This window comes from Homo sapiens, chromosome 13 (genome assembly GCF_000001405.40).
Source record: "Homo sapiens chromosome 13, GRCh38.p14 Primary Assembly".
Taxonomy (NCBI): Eukaryota; Metazoa; Chordata; class Mammalia; order Primates; family Hominidae; genus Homo; species Homo sapiens.
Genome location: NC_000013.11, coordinates 51,776,790 through 51,791,879, shown reverse-complemented (window position 1 = coordinate 51,791,879; position 15,090 = coordinate 51,776,790). Strand labels below are relative to the sequence as shown.

Here is a 15,090-nt window from a genome sequence, read left to right as displayed (position 1 = left end):
AATAAGCCAGGCACAGAAAGACAAAGACTATTCGATTTCACTTATGTGAGGTAGCCATAGTACTCAGAATTCATAGAACCAAAGAGTGGAATGGTGGTTGTCAGGGGCTGGGGGAAAGGAGAAATGTGGAGTTACTATCAAAGGGCACAAAGTTTCAGTTAGGCAAGGTGAATAAACTCTAGAGGTGCACTGTACAACATTGTACCTAGTCAGCATGCTGGAAATTTTGTTAAGAGGGTAGATCTCATATTAAGTATCCTTATCACAATAAAATAAAAAAGTAAAAACTGTTTTTACCACCAAAAACTAAAAGACATATTGTTAAGTGAAAAACACGGATGTAGAACAATGCATAGTCTGATCCTATTTGTGTGGTGTATGTATATATAAAATATATATCTTAAAATATATGTATTGTATATATAGTATATGCTTAAAATATTTCTGGATGATTCACAAAAAACTGAACAATGGTTTATTTTTGAGGAGTGGGACTGGTATTTTCCGTTTTATATCATTTCAAAGTATTTGCTTTTTAAAAACCGTATACTTTTTTAAAATTAAAAGTGCTAGTTTATATCTTTTTAAAAAGGGTTTTTTTTTTTTTTGCTTTCTAATTTAGAACATTTTTCTGCACATTGTGGACTTGTCTGATCCCAAGCAAATCTGGAAATTTGTTGAAAATTTCAAGCAGGAACATAAACTCCATGTTCTGGTGAGCTTTGTAAACATAAGTGGAGAATAAATTCATGTTGGCCCATTGTTTCCGTCTGTGGATGTGGACGGATATGTATGTTTGCCTGTCTTTATGGAAGAATCTTAGTAAGACTCTCTTATGCTTGGGCCTGTTCATGGAATCAAGTTTACTCATTGGATTTAAGAGGAGACGCATGTGGTTAGATTAGTGGGGAAAGGAAGGGGCCATCCACTGGGTAGGTGTTGTGGGAGGATAGATATGTTCCATGTTTTATAAAATGATGATTTGTATATAAATTTTTCTCAATTCTGTAGATTTGGGGATTGGTGTGTTGAAATTAGAAGCTCTTTTTGTCCAAAAGAATACCTCCTGCAGACAGGCAAATCTTTTAGTAACATAATTAGCACAAAACTCCATGGAGAGCCTGGGTAGACTCAGATAGAAAGAGTCCCAGTGTGCTCTTCCCAGATACTCTACTTGGAGCTAAGTTGCTTTTCTATCCGAAGAGTTTCTGATGTGCTCTGAAACGTTGTTCCAGAGTCTGGAATTGTGCTGTCCAGTGTGGCTGTGAAGCATTTGAAATGTAGCTAGTCCAAACTGAGATGTGGTGTAAGTGTATAAATTAGCAGGTTTCAAGGCCTGAAAAAAATTATCTATGCCATCTCATTAATATTCTATATTGATTACATGTTAAAATGATGCTATTTTGGATATATTTGGTTAAATATATTATTAAATTAATTTTACCAGTTTCTTACTACCTTTTTAATGTGGCTACTAGAAATCTTAAGATTAGATATTTCTATTGGACCGTTCTGGACTAGATGAATTTCCAGAGCACTCTCTCATGAATTAGGTTGCCTGGCCAAGCTGTCTCACTTGGCGATCTTTGCACAGTTCTGTGGCTGAATCCTCTGCACAAGTGGTATTTTCCTGCAAAGGGTTTGGAGTAAAGAATCAGTTGAGCAAATTGTCATTGTCACTTGAAAGTTGAAAAAGAGCTGGGGGTGGGGTAGTGGAGGTGTGGGGATGGAAATAGGTCTTTTGGCCCTATTTTTCTTTATTTTGAAATGAGAACTATAAATTTTAGATCAATAATGCAGGTTGCATGGTCAATAAAAGAGAGCTCACAGAAGATGGACTTGAAAAAAACTTTGCTGCCAATACTCTGGGTAAGTACAAGAAGTTTTCTTATTTGTTTTTAGCAAAATAAACATAGAATGTACCATAGAAGGGTAAAAAAAAATTGACCAACTTTTTTGGTTCTTGGTCCTGGGCCTGATGACGTTTGCTTTAAGTTTATTCTGAATTGTACTTATTTTTCTTCATAAAACACTTTCTCTTTTCATGTTTCTTATAATAGGTGTTGGTGCCAGAAATACTTAGTATTGAAGTGTTTTTTTTCCTAGGAAGCGCTAGGCTGTTTATAGACATTGTTTTGAAGAGGAGAGCAAGTTCAGCTTAAGTGTTGAGTGCAAGTCTAAAAACTGCAACCAAAGGAACTTCCAGCCAGGGCTGAGGAAGGTGCAACCAGTGGGCAAGAAGATGGACCAAGAAGCGCATTGGCTAGAGCACAGATACCTGGGCTCTGGTTGCTACTCTGTAATAGCAGAGTGAAGTCATTTTATATCAGGCCAGTGGCTCTCCAAGTGGGGTTCCCAGACCAGCAGCCTCAGCATCACCTGGGAACTTGATAGACATGCACATTCTTAGATTCCCCACCCAGATCTACAGAATCTGAAACTCTGGAATGAGGCCAAGAGTTAAATCCAGTTTGACAGGCCTTCTGGATGATTCTGGTGCACACTAAAGATTGAGAGCTAATGTACTATGCTTTTAGTCTCCTTGGAGTTTCTCCTTCTCAATCCAAGGGGCCTTTCAACTTTGAGATGCAGTGAATCCAACACTCTTCCCAGGACCTATCCTACTTCCTTGTAGTGAGGGGGGTGTTTTAATTAAGTATTGTTCTAGGTCACAAGATGGATGGCAGGGGTTTTGGTGGTTGTTGGAGTCATTGAGGGTGTCCAATATATAGCAACCCTATTCCCAACCAAGAACTGAACAAATTGAGTAAGCCGATGGAATAACAGTTGGAAGCCAACATATCACTGTTGTTACTGATAAGGCTGGTTGAAGGGCATGGCTCAGTGCAAGAGCCAAATGGGTTTCCTCATATGGAACCCAAGAATTAGAAGCATTCACCTACCTGGTCACCGGGGACTCCCCTTCTCTTCTTCCCCAGAAAGAGGAGAAGGGGAGGAGCAGAACTGAGCAAGCCCCGCTGATTGTCCCCAAATTTACTAAATTTACTATTTTTTTTTTTGAGACAGGATCTTGTTCTGTTGCCCTGGCTAGAGTGCAGTGACGTGATCATGGCTCACTGCAGCCTCAAACTCCTGGGCTCAAGCAATCCTTTCACCTCACGCTCCCAAGTAGCTAGGACTACGGCATGTACCACCATGCCTGACTAATTTTTTTTAATTAAAAATTTTTTGTTGTTGTTGAGGTGGGGGTCTCACTATGTTGCCCAGGCTAGTCTCAAACTCTTGGCCTCTAGCAATCCTCCTGCCTCAGCCTCCCAAAGTATTGGGATTACAGGTGTGAGTCACTGCGCCCAGGCTAAATTTACTGTGGAAACGTGCTCCATCTCCCTGGCAGATGGAAGAAGGTCCAAGGGAGAAAGAACTCACCCTAATTGCACTCTCTTCTCAAGGAAAGAAAGGCTAGGAGTGGGAAGATGCCTTCTCCCCAGTGATGAGGTTGCATTTTTCAAAACAAATATACCTGGAAGCTTGTATGAAATGGCACAGGTTTAGTACAAAATATTTTCATCACTGACTTTGTTCCAAATATGTTATCTTTGCTGAAATGACCAAAAGTACCAAAATGTGGGGTCATGCTAGAGTTTGGCTCATAACTCGATGGGACAGCTGAGACTCCCAGAGTGCCGCAGCTGGCCCCGAGGCACTGTTCCGCAGGACTGGTTACATAATTTGCAGAGTCCAGCACCAAATGGAAATGCGAGGCTCCATGTTAAAAAATTATTAAGGATTTCAATGCAGCGACCACAGAGCATTAAACCAGGTGCAGGGTCCTTCCAAGTACTGGGCTTTGTGTGACCTCACAGGATGAAGCCAGCTCTTGCTCACCCATCCACCCACCATCTGACAAAATTCTGCTAAGTGTTCGCTGCGGCCGGGCCACGAGTGAGAGTTGCATATATATGTATATTATATATAATTATATATATAAGTATATATTATATATAATTATATATTTTTATATATATTTATATATTATATATAATTATATATTTATATATTATATATAATTATATATTATATGTTTATATAATTTATAATATATAAATTATATATAAATATATATTAATATATTATAAATTATATATAATTTATATAATTATATATAAAAATATATAATATAATTATATGTATATATGTTTTATATAAATTATATATTTATATATATTTATACTTTTTAATATAATATATATACTTATATTTAATTTAGTGCTATAATGGAGGTAGTCCTACATCACAGATGAGGAAACTGAGGTTGAGAGAGATTGTTTCACTTGCCCAAGGTCAAGTGAAGGAGCCAGAATGTGAACCTCGGTCTGACTTCCTCCACGACCCACGCTCATTACCAGTGCACAGTTCCACCCATCCCAGCATGTCCTCCCTCACCCCATCACCGTGTTATCCTAAATAAGTGCTAAGAAGTACTGGGAGGGGGTGACCAGCTATGCCAGGGAAGGCTGGGCTGGGGTTTGGGGGCACCTCTCAGAGAAGCTTAAAGGTTTTGGAAGATGAAAAGGAGGGTAATCTGGGGACCTTGGCCTTGCTTGGGAATGTGGACAGGCTTGATAGACTCTAAAGGGGCTGTCTATTTGATTATTTAGCTGGTTAAGTTGCACCTTTGTAAGGATCCAGCCTGCTTCTAAAGACCTTGCTATCTCTTCCTTTTCATTTCCTGTTTGTGTTAGAAACATCTTACTGATTATTCCAACCTCTCTGAGAAGCGTAATAATTCTCGGGCTTTGATATTTATTCATCCTCTCTCAAGTGAAGGAAGTAGTACAATACACAAAGAGGCATGCCAGCACAGAGGGGCAGCTCCATGGGTCTTTGCTTGAGAGAGAAGGAGATACAGAGAGGTTAAAGTGCTGTCATTCTTCAGCAGGACCAGGCCAGACAAAAAACCTGGACCCCTGTCCGAGTCCTGGAAAATTGCTGGCTGCCTTTCTAATATGAAACATGTTTTCCTGGCCTGATTATGTAATGTGGGATAGGTTGTTTTCTATTTTCTAAGATTCACATGAGCTGTCAGAAACATTTGCAATCTCCAGCCAAACACCAGTAGGTTCCTGATACTCTGAGGAGAGCGTAAACCTCAGCATTCGCAGGATTTATCACTGGATCCTAAGGGTTTTGAAGCTGGTAGAATAGTTAAATGCAAAATGCCTTCAGCACCCATGCCTACACACGGCTTTGTTGAGACATCACAGTGTATGAATTAGATAGTTTGGAAAGAATAATTCTTAGCCTTTTGCGGGGGCGGGTGGGGCCTGGAGAGATTTTCATATCCTACTGAGGGACAAAAGCGAGCTGCCCTGGGTCAGTTGATGCACAGTTGAGCCATGGAGGGGAAGAGATTGCAGGAGACAGCTTCTGTTGGGTGGCTGTTCTCACCCCTTTGTTTCAGGTCTCCTCCAGTCACATACGTTTTGCCTGTTAGCATTCAGTGGCATTAAGAGTCCATGAGGAGTGAAGACAGATGGGAGAGGGAGGGCGGGGAGGCTGAGCTAAGTGCCCTGCTGGCAGCCTGCCACAGCCTAGCGTTAGCAGATTAAAACTCTCACCCGCATCTTAGCCTCTCTCACCACAGGACACAAGACGAGGACACTGATTCTATCTCCACCAGGACAGCTGCGTCACCAATTAATTGACTGTGATAAACAGGCAGTGGTGCCTTAGCTCTTTGGCAGGAGGCGAGGAAGTTCACCTTAGGTCACTTTGGAAGGATGTACGTCGTGAGACAGAGTGTTGTCGCTTGACATTCTGTTACGTGGCACCCTCCTCGGGCACATCCCAGTAACTAGTGAGAGCTGCTGTTCGACACAGGGACCCCAGGTCCAGAGATGCTTTCATAACAATAGCACATACTGAGCACAGTCCCTGTGCTGCAGGCTGCACTGAAGGCTTTTCTTGGATTCTCTCATTCAGTCTCATAACCATTTTACAGATTTTACAAATGAGGAAACTGAGGCTCAGAGGTAGTCTAAAACCAGTCTGTGACTCACTTCCTAAACAAAGGACAACAAAATTGTGGTTGGGGCATTTTTTAGTGTAGGGTTGTATCATCAGCTATTGCTATGAAACAACTCCAAAATCTCAGGGGTGTACAATGATAAGCATGCATTTTTGCTGACTCTTCTGCAGATCTATTGAGCAGGCTGATCTCAGCTGGGCTCAGCTGTGTGTCTCCAAGCTGCAGGTTTGGTATGGAGTATGTGCCAAATATCTTGTATCCTCCTTGGACCAAGGCATATTCTGGCCAACGTATATTCTCAGGGCAATGGCAGAGGCCCAGGTGTGCGAGCAATTCCAAGCCTCTGCTTGCATCCAAGCCCCTTTGATTAACTGGACATGATATCCAGTTAACCAATCCAGAAATCAGCAGATATCCAATTAATCAAAGCAAATCATTTCACAGAGCTCCAAATCAAGAATCAGAGAAGTGTACTTCTCCCACAGAGGTGGCGAGGAGAGAATGAATATTGAACAATAATCTGCCACAAGGGTTTGTTTTTTTTTTTACATTCCAATTCTTTGAAAACGGGTCACCTGAATTTAATATGTTAACTATTTATTAATCAAAATACCTAACGAACAAAGGCACCTTATTTGTTCCATAAACATTCTGGTTTTTTTTGAGACAGAGTCTCGCTCTGTCACCCAGGCTGGAGTGTAGTGGCACAATCTCAGCTCACTGCAACCTCCATCTCTTGGGCTCAAGCAATTCTCCTGCCTCAGCCTCCTGAGTAGCTGGGATTACAGGTACACGCCACCACATCCATCTAATTTTTTTATTTTTAGTAGAGATGGGGTTTCACTATGTTGGTCAGGCTGGTCTTGAACTCCTGACTTCAGGTGATCCACCTGCCTTGGCCCCCCAAATTGCTGGGATTACAGGCATGAGCCACTGCGCCTGGCTTGTTACATAAACATTTATAAAGGGCCCATTTTATGCCAGATGCTGTGGCCAGTTATGGGGATTGAGAAATGGAAGGGACTGCTGGCCTAGTGGGGGAATTAGACACATACATAATTTCAGTAATCATGTGGTAAAACTCTGTTTTCATCCATGAAGGGAGTTTGGTATGGAGACTCAGAGGAAAACAGAGAACAGTGCTTCCAAGGCAGAATGCTTCCTTAGACAGGGCACGCGTTTGGTGCCAGGCATTCTTACTTATCAATAACCTTTACCTGAGCTATCCTCATGCATCGTTTTGTTCCTAATATCTCCTTCCAGCTCACAAACCTTCAAGGCTCCCAGAAAGGCACAGAGCCTGGGAAGTAGCACTGTAGAAATGGCAGCTAATGTTGTTTTAACATCCAGATTCCTTAACCTGGAATTAAAGTCCTTTGTTACAGACCCCACCTCCTGTCCAAATGTATTTCCCATTATTTTCCTATATGGACCCTGTAGCAGTCAGCCTCTTATTTTGGAACTTGGCACTGGCAGTGCTACCTCTATGCTTTTGTCCTGCTGCTCCCCTGCCTGGAATGTCCCCTACCTGGCTAACTCATACTGCTCCTCTGTGACTCTGCTGGACACATTCCTTCCCCTGAGCCTGGTCAGATGCTCCCCTCTGGGCTCCCATGGACCCCTCTGTGTGCCTGTTGTGGCTCAGCAGAAGCCACCTGCTGATGGGTGGGTTTCTTGCCCAGAGCATGGATCCTTGAGGGCAGAATCCACCTGGCTCTCAGGAGGCGCTCAGTCACACTGGCTGCACTGAGCAGGGTTGTAGTCCAGTTCCTCCAGTTACCTGACTCTGTACAAATGTCCTCAACCTCCCCACGCCTTACTTTCCCATTCTGTAAAATGGGGATGATGATACTTTTATAGGCCAGAAGTGAAGATTTAAAAAAGACTTGTAAGATATTTAACCAAAGAGAAATAACCTGTGTGCACACAAAAATACGCACACGAATGTTTATAGCAGCTTATTCATAATCGCCCCAAACAGGAGTCAGCCCAGATATATGGTGAATAGATAAACTGGCACTCCCATTCAATGGAATGCAATTCAGCAATAAAAAGGCACAAAATGTCAATGTACAAAACAATGTGAGTGACTCTTAGATGCACCAGCCAAAGTGAAGCCAGACCCCAAGGGGTGCAGACTGTGATTCCATTTATAGGACATTCTGGAAAAGGCAACCTAGGGGGCTAAGAAGAGGTCAGAGGCTGCAGGGGCGGGATTAGGGAGTGGCTAGGGGCAGGAGGAGGGTGTGACGACAGAGGGAATGTGAGTGGCTGTGAGGGAACATCTGGGGTGATAGAGTTCTTCCGAATCACACCACAGTCTAATGCGTAGTTACATGACTGCATCTGTCACAGTTCAGAACTGTGTACACACACACACGCATGCACAGATTTTACTTTATGTTAAAACATTATATATATATTATATCAACAAGAAAAAAGAAAGCATTGTAACTTTCAGCTCAATGTCTGGCATGTAGTGAGTCTGTTTCATCCTAAGAAGCATATTATTCATTATGATTGTTTCTTGGTGCTCGTCCTCAGTAACAAGTGAGCTGCTGTTGGAGAGACTGTGTCCTCAGCTTGAGGTGGGGGCAGATTTCAGGCCACAGGGGAGGCTGGTGGAGTCTGGAGCTCCTAGGAACCCCATTTCCCCTCGACCACTAGAAGGGCCCCAGGCGAGGCTCTTGGTTTAAACTGTACCGGGGAGCCGTCCTAAGGAGAGAGAATGGACAAGCTCAGAAGTCAGAGATCATTTTTCCCATTGATTTTCGGTTTTCTGCCAGCCATGGAAGCTGCTTTTGATGAGACACAAAAGCTTCCCAGACTGAGCCTCCTGGGCCGCGCCGTGCACCCCGCTCTGGGCCGCTCTTCCTTCTCGGCAGCTCCATGGTGGTGCAGAGTCCTCGCCAGGCTCCGTGGTGTCTGCCCTTCTAGGTCTTCTGGCCTAGGAGCACCGGCCCCAAATCCAAGTCCTCCTGTGGGCCAGGACCTTACCTAATTACCTGGCTGGGATTTGGTGAGTGTTTTAAAGGTGTGCTGGTAACAAACATTCATTTGAGGAGTTTTAGAAACACAATCCCAAATAAGCACCTTTGTCCTTTTAATGAGCTGAGGCCCAAGTGCCCATACTCGGGTTCTCCCTGCAGTACAGCAGGTTCTTTCATACATCTCAGTGAAGCACACAGGACCCCCATACTGCGGCTGTGACAGCAGGGGGTGACATCAGTCACCTGGCTAGGCCCTGGAGAAAAGCCTGCACAGCACTTCCTCCACCAGCCTCTCATGGTCCCCGAGTCCCGGGCATCCTGCAGCTCACTCCAGTCGGCTTATCTCCCTGACCTTTGGCCACTCTCATGCTGAGGTCACCTATGACCCTGATATTCCTGGTTCTGGAGAGCGCACCTCTACCACATCCATGGGCAGCACTGGGCACAGCTGTCCGTGCTCCCATAGCGCGATGGCCTCCAAGCCACCTGTGATTCCACCCTCGGAGGTTGGCTCCTTCTCAACCTCCTTAGCCAGCTGCAGCGTGTCTGCGGGGACTTTAAATGTTGGCATCCCTCCCAGACCAATCCTGTGCCCTCCTTTCTCCTCCCACACTCTCTGTTGGGATCTCATCCTTGCCCCAATGCCATCATGTGCCTGGCTCCCAAGGGCCCCCTTCCAGCCCAGATCTCTCTTCTGAGTTCCAGGTCCAGATCTCAAACACCTCAGACTCAGCATGTCCAAAACTGAAGCCTTAGTCCCTCACCGGTCTGCTCCTGTAATGGGCCCCACCCCAGTGGCCAGCATCATCTCCGTCACCGCTTGTCCTTGACACCCCCTCACTTCTCATATCCAAGCAGTGATCGTGCCTTTGGACTCTCTGCACAACGTGTCCCCAGTCTGTCTCCTGCTCTTCAGCTCCACTGCGACCACTCTGCCCAAGCCACTGCAGTCACTGTGATGTAGTGGAGTAATATGGGGCCCTAGGTGCCCTCCTGTACCCACCTCCCGAACAGAGGCTTCCTCCATAAGGCTGACAGAGTGGTCCTTATGCATGCAAATCTGTTTCCTTCTGCTTAAAGTCACCCCTTGGTTTCATATGAGGTGCGTGTCTCTGGCGTTGCCCTTGGAGGCTGCAGCCTCACATTGCCCTACCCTCTACCATGCTCACTCGGTTGCAGCTGCCTTGGTTGCACTCTCCAGCCTCAGGGCCTCTTTGCACAGGCTGTGCTCCATACCTGCAGCCCTTCTTCCCATCCCCAGCCCTCTACCTGCCTGTTCCCTCCTCTTCTCCAGGTCTTAGCTGAAATGTCCCTTCACAGTTCATGCAGAGCCTGACACCTCCCCCGCCGTCCCACCCCCATGTGCCCATAGCACTCTAGCACTTACCTCGACCGTGAGTGTAGGTTAGTCACGTAGTAACATGTGTAATGCCTGGGAATGCCTGGCAGAGGGCAGGGCGCCCTCAGTCTGTATCCTGAGTACTTAGCACTGGGTCTGGCACTCAGTGGGCCCTTGATAAATACTTGTTCAGTGCGTGGAACTGGATAAGGTGGCGGGGATGAGTTGAGGTTGGGGGCAAAGGGGATAGGCCTGACTCACGCTAACCACTCTCTGAGCCCAAACCAAGAATACCCCATAGGAAGCCAGTGCCTTGAATGTCTTCTAAGAGCTCATTTCCTCTGGGACTCTGTCCTGCTGTCTTCTCCAGGTAATGTAATCTTTGAAATCATCTTTATATAATGTGTGAGATTAGTGTGTGAGCCCCCCAGGCTCACTATGTTTTTGTTACTGTACAAAAGAAGTACCAAATGGTGTTCACCAGTGCAGCTGTCTGCTCCTTTAAAATTAACACCAGAAACTTCCCAGGGACAGCAAGACAATGGTTTTCTCCGTCAGATAGTAGCGTGGATGGAAGCACATAACCCATTGGCTAGTAACCAAAGTAGCTTTAATTCAAGGTGGCTTTGAAGGTTTCTTAATAGAAATGCCAATCAGTTTTCCTATGCTAAATTTACAAATTGCAATATATTTTTCTCATTAAAAATAATTACCTTTAATGCTATTAAAATGTCATACTCAAGATATATAATTTCAGAAATACTATGAATTTAGTATTTGGAGGATGCAGACATGGGTTTCGCAGTGCTCTAAGAACACGCGGCATCTCTCCTTCAGCATCACCTGTGCTCCACACAGTTTTACCTCTCAATTAGTTGATAGAGAGATTTGCTTCAAGTCATGTACCCATGTAATAAAAGTTCTTGTTGCCATATTTAGAAGACTATGTCCAACATAAATTCCACTGCCAGATCTCTTTCTCGTAATGAACCGCCATCGACATAATGAGTTCCTTGGAAGAAAGGCATTGTGTAAATTTAAAATACTAATGAGTCATAATGATAATGAATTATTTTCCTTGTTACTGGGAGCAGGACTAACCTTGGGCAACTTTTCCAGTAGCTGAAGGTGCCTTCCCTCCTCCCAGGCCTGCCCTCCCGTGGGATTCTGTACTCTAAAATATCTCTCTTTTTCTCTCATCAAAACCTTGAATCACCCAAATGTCCCTGATATTAATAGGAAGTCTTAGAGGAAAGGAAGTTGTTGACCTGGTTCACACGAAGATATGAATGACTAAAAGCACCCATTAACCATTTATAACAATGCCCCTCCTGTGTCTGTCCAGAGACATTCTTATTTATTTATTTATTTATTTATTTATTTTTGAGATGGAATCTCACTCTCTTGCCCAAGCTGGAATGCAGTGGCACAATCTCAGCTCATTGCAACCTCCGCCTCCTGGGTTCAAGCGATTCTCCTGCCTCAGCCTCCCGAGTAGCTGGGACTACAGGTGTGGGCCACCATGCCCGACTAATTTTTGTATTTTTAGTAGAGATGGGGTTTCGCCACGTTAGCCAGGCTGGTCTTGAACTCCTGACCTCAAGTGATCCGCCCGCCTCGGCCTCCCAAAGTGCTGGGATTACAGGTGTGAGCCACCACGCCCAGGAGACATTCTTATTTTAAAGGGTAGCTGGTTATCCCGGGAGAACTGGTGGACTTCCTAACTGAGACAAGCCAAGTGTCTTAGGTTTTGTGTGGTCAGAAGTAACAAGAACCCACACAGGAAGACTAAAGAAAAAAATAATTTATTAGTGGGCTACAAGGGCAGCCCTCACAGAACTCAATGGCAGAGACACAGCTGGGCTTTGGGAGGGCCAGGGACAGGACAGGAGAACCTGTCAGCAGCTAAGGTGACCTTCTGCTTCTCTGGGACTGTTGTCCATGGACTCTCATCACAACTGCTTCGTTCACTCTCCGTCTCTGCTTTTCCTTGCATCTGGGTCACATATGGCTGCCACTGAGTCACCTGTCCTCCATTCAGCATTCCATTTTCACACTCTTCTAGGGAGAGTTTGGGTGGGACAGCTTGGACCAGGTGTCACCCCCCTGGCCCAGTCCATCTGCCCGTGGACTGGGCACATGGGACAAATGCAGCACCTGGCCCAGGGCAAAGACTGTTTGCTTTGTTTGTTGTTGTTATAAACAGGATGTGTTTGGGGCCTACCCCTAAAAAGAGGGAATGGGGCATGTTTCCCAAAGAAGTCTACTGCACCAGGCTGAGGAGTTTTTTGCTTAATTCAATGGGGGCCAGAGTGTTGAAGGACTTTGGGGGCAGGAGAGTGATGTTGGCTCACGTGTTAATGACAGGCCTGTTTGGATCTGTGTGAGCTGGGCAAGGAGCAACTGGCGCCATGTTCACTGAGGAAAGAATGACTTGCAGAATGGGTACCTTCCTTCTCCTTGGCATGGGTTGGCATGCAGCATGGCTACGTGACTCAAGAAAAGGGAGATGCGCCATCTGTTTTCCACATTGTATGAACTTGCTGGGACTTTGGATAAGTCACTGAACCTCTCTGGGATTCTATAACTCTAATTCTTTCAATAAGAGTTTATATATATATATACACAGACACCCACATATATGTGTACACACATATGTATGCACATACATACTTATATATTGTGTATTATTTTAGCAGATTATTATTGTGTTTCTCTAGGAGTTTTTTTAAAAGCACCTGCTACTTGGCAGTCCCCTAGAGGAGAGAGTACTTGGCAGGGACAAGCGACCCAGCCAGCCCTCCTGCAGGTGACTGGGAATGAGAGCTGAGCACCTCCCAGGTAGGGAGGATAGGTGCAAAGGGGCTCACCCCAGCTCTCGCCATCCTGAGAGGAGAGAGGAGGTGCCCTTCGCAGGCAGCAGAGCCAGCCCAGCCGCTGGCTTTCATTTCCCTTCCTCACAAGAGCCATTTATGACAATCCGTCAGGGCAAGCTGATGCGGCAGATCGCTTTTGGCAGAAGTCCTTTCTACTTGTCATAAATCACAGAGAAAGCCACCGGCGGTGAATACAAAGAAAGTCCAAGACCACTGGCTGGAGGTTAACAGCTGTTAGCGACCCAGGGTTCAGGAGACTTTACAAATCCACAAATACGAACAAGGCAGGCTCCTACAAATAAATTGGGCTGTGAACAACTAAGAATGCTGTCTGGGATGAAAGTCACAACTCAGAATCACAAATGATAATACAGCAAGAGCAGGACAAAGGCGGCCTGCCCAGAGAACTTTCCAGTCCTCACAGGACATGCACACATTTTTATTTCACCACAAACTCCTCTGATCCTGTGAGGTGGGCTGGCCAGCTATTATCTCCTGAAAATGCCACCGCACTTGCCTACGGTCACACCGCTGGTAAGTGCCAGAGCCAGGGTTCAGAGGGAGGCCCCTGGATCCACCTCCAGGACCCTTCCCACGATGCCAGGCAGCTCCTGCGAGCTGGATGCAGGCCACATGGCGGGCGGTGCAGGAAGCTGTGGTGAGAGCTGGTCACACAGAGACTCCATGGCATAGCCCAGGAAAGAGCCCAGGGCTCGCCACTTTAAGCCCCTGACTTGATTCCTGCCTCACTTTGGGGTAAGGGGCTTTAAACTCTCCCTTTTTTGTAAACACAGAGTAATAAACATTCATTGTTTAAAAAAATACAGGCATGTATAAGAAGAATATAGAAACAATAATCCCACCATTCAGAGATGAGCATTTTTAACCTTTCAGGGCATCACTCTCATCCTTGCAGACATTTTCTCTTCATCTTGACACATCTTTCCTCACCAAAATGGAATGGTGGTGTTCCCAATGTTTTGTAATTTCTCATTCCATATATATTAGGAATGTCTTTCCATGTCACATACACTTCAGTGTTTTTCTCATTCCATTAGAAATGTTATATGTATATTTCTTGATTGAAGAAATAACCATAAAGTTATATGCTCATTGTAAAAATACTCAAATCCAAACAGTGCAGAAATGTATAGCAAAGGAAGGAAAAATTTTACTGAATTCCACCCTTGAGACCTAATTTAGCGGTATTGCTAAATTTCATCTTCACATTTTTCTGTGCACAGACTGGACATATAGATGCATTTTTTCTTCTGCAAAGTGGACCCATCTACGGTTTGGCAGTTTTCTTTTTCCCTTCCTGTATTCCTGTAGTGTGGACATCTTTTCCTGTCGGTACATGAGGCTCTAAGGCATCTTTCTTCCAGTCCTGGGAAAAGGAACATTTGGCTTGAAGGATCCTCGGAAGGAGGGACTGCCCCTCAGGTGGCCACTTGCCCTCTTGTGGGGGGCGGGTGCGGGCAGACAGTCCCCACATCAGTCCTGCAGGACCCCTTGAGTTGGGGCTTCCTGCAGCCCCCTCATGGGATGCTGTGTGCTGCCTCAGGTGTGTACATTCTCACGACCGGCCTGATCCCTGTGCTGGAGAAAGAACACGACCCCCGAGTGGTGAGTTGACCTTATGGGATGTTTTGAGGATAATGGACTTTGCTCCTGATGGGAAGTCAGTGGGCCTAGGTTTGCTGCCTGACTGCCCTAAGGGGGCCATTCTGTCCACATCCACAGCAAAACCTCAATTCTGTCAGGGGGCCGAGAGGGAAGTGGAGGCATGCCAAGAGCACATTCAGACCCCAGCCCTCTCTGAACCCCCCCAACCCCCGACCCCCACTCCGGCTGTCACGTGGGTGTCGGCAAAGCACTGGGGAGGGAGGCCTCCGA

At 45.4% G+C, this 15,090-nt stretch overlaps 1 protein-coding gene across 42 annotated transcripts in view, besides 1 other annotated feature; it reads left to right on the top strand.

The window, feature by feature from the left end:
* The window catches only part of DHRS12 (dehydrogenase/reductase 12), a 49,310-nt gene that overhangs the window by 12,284 nt on the left and 21,936 nt on the right, over window positions 1-15,090 (top strand). For 33 of the 42 annotated variants that reach the window (XM_047430642.1, XM_047430638.1, XM_047430637.1 and 30 more), the window contains 3 exons: window positions 623-715; window positions 1,788-1,869; window positions 14,759-14,820. In XM_047430642.1, coding sequence (XP_047286598.1) covers window positions 623-715; window positions 1,788-1,869; window positions 14,759-14,820 — 237 coding nt within the window. Of the gene's footprint in view, window positions 1-622; window positions 716-1,787; window positions 1,870-2,106; window positions 2,529-14,438; window positions 14,821-15,090 lie in introns of those variants that run through there. The other 9 variants (NR_165332.1, NR_165333.1, XR_007063698.1 and 6 more) reach the window with 6 other exon arrangements.
* Window positions 10,333-10,382: a silencer, noted in NCBI's record as "silent region_5376". NCBI's record gives its function as "represses an Ori minimal core promoter by ATAC-STARR-seq in GM12878 lymphoblastoid cells {active_cell/tissue: GM12878}" and the evidence as "EXISTENCE:reporter gene assay evidence [ECO:0000049][PMID:35858748]".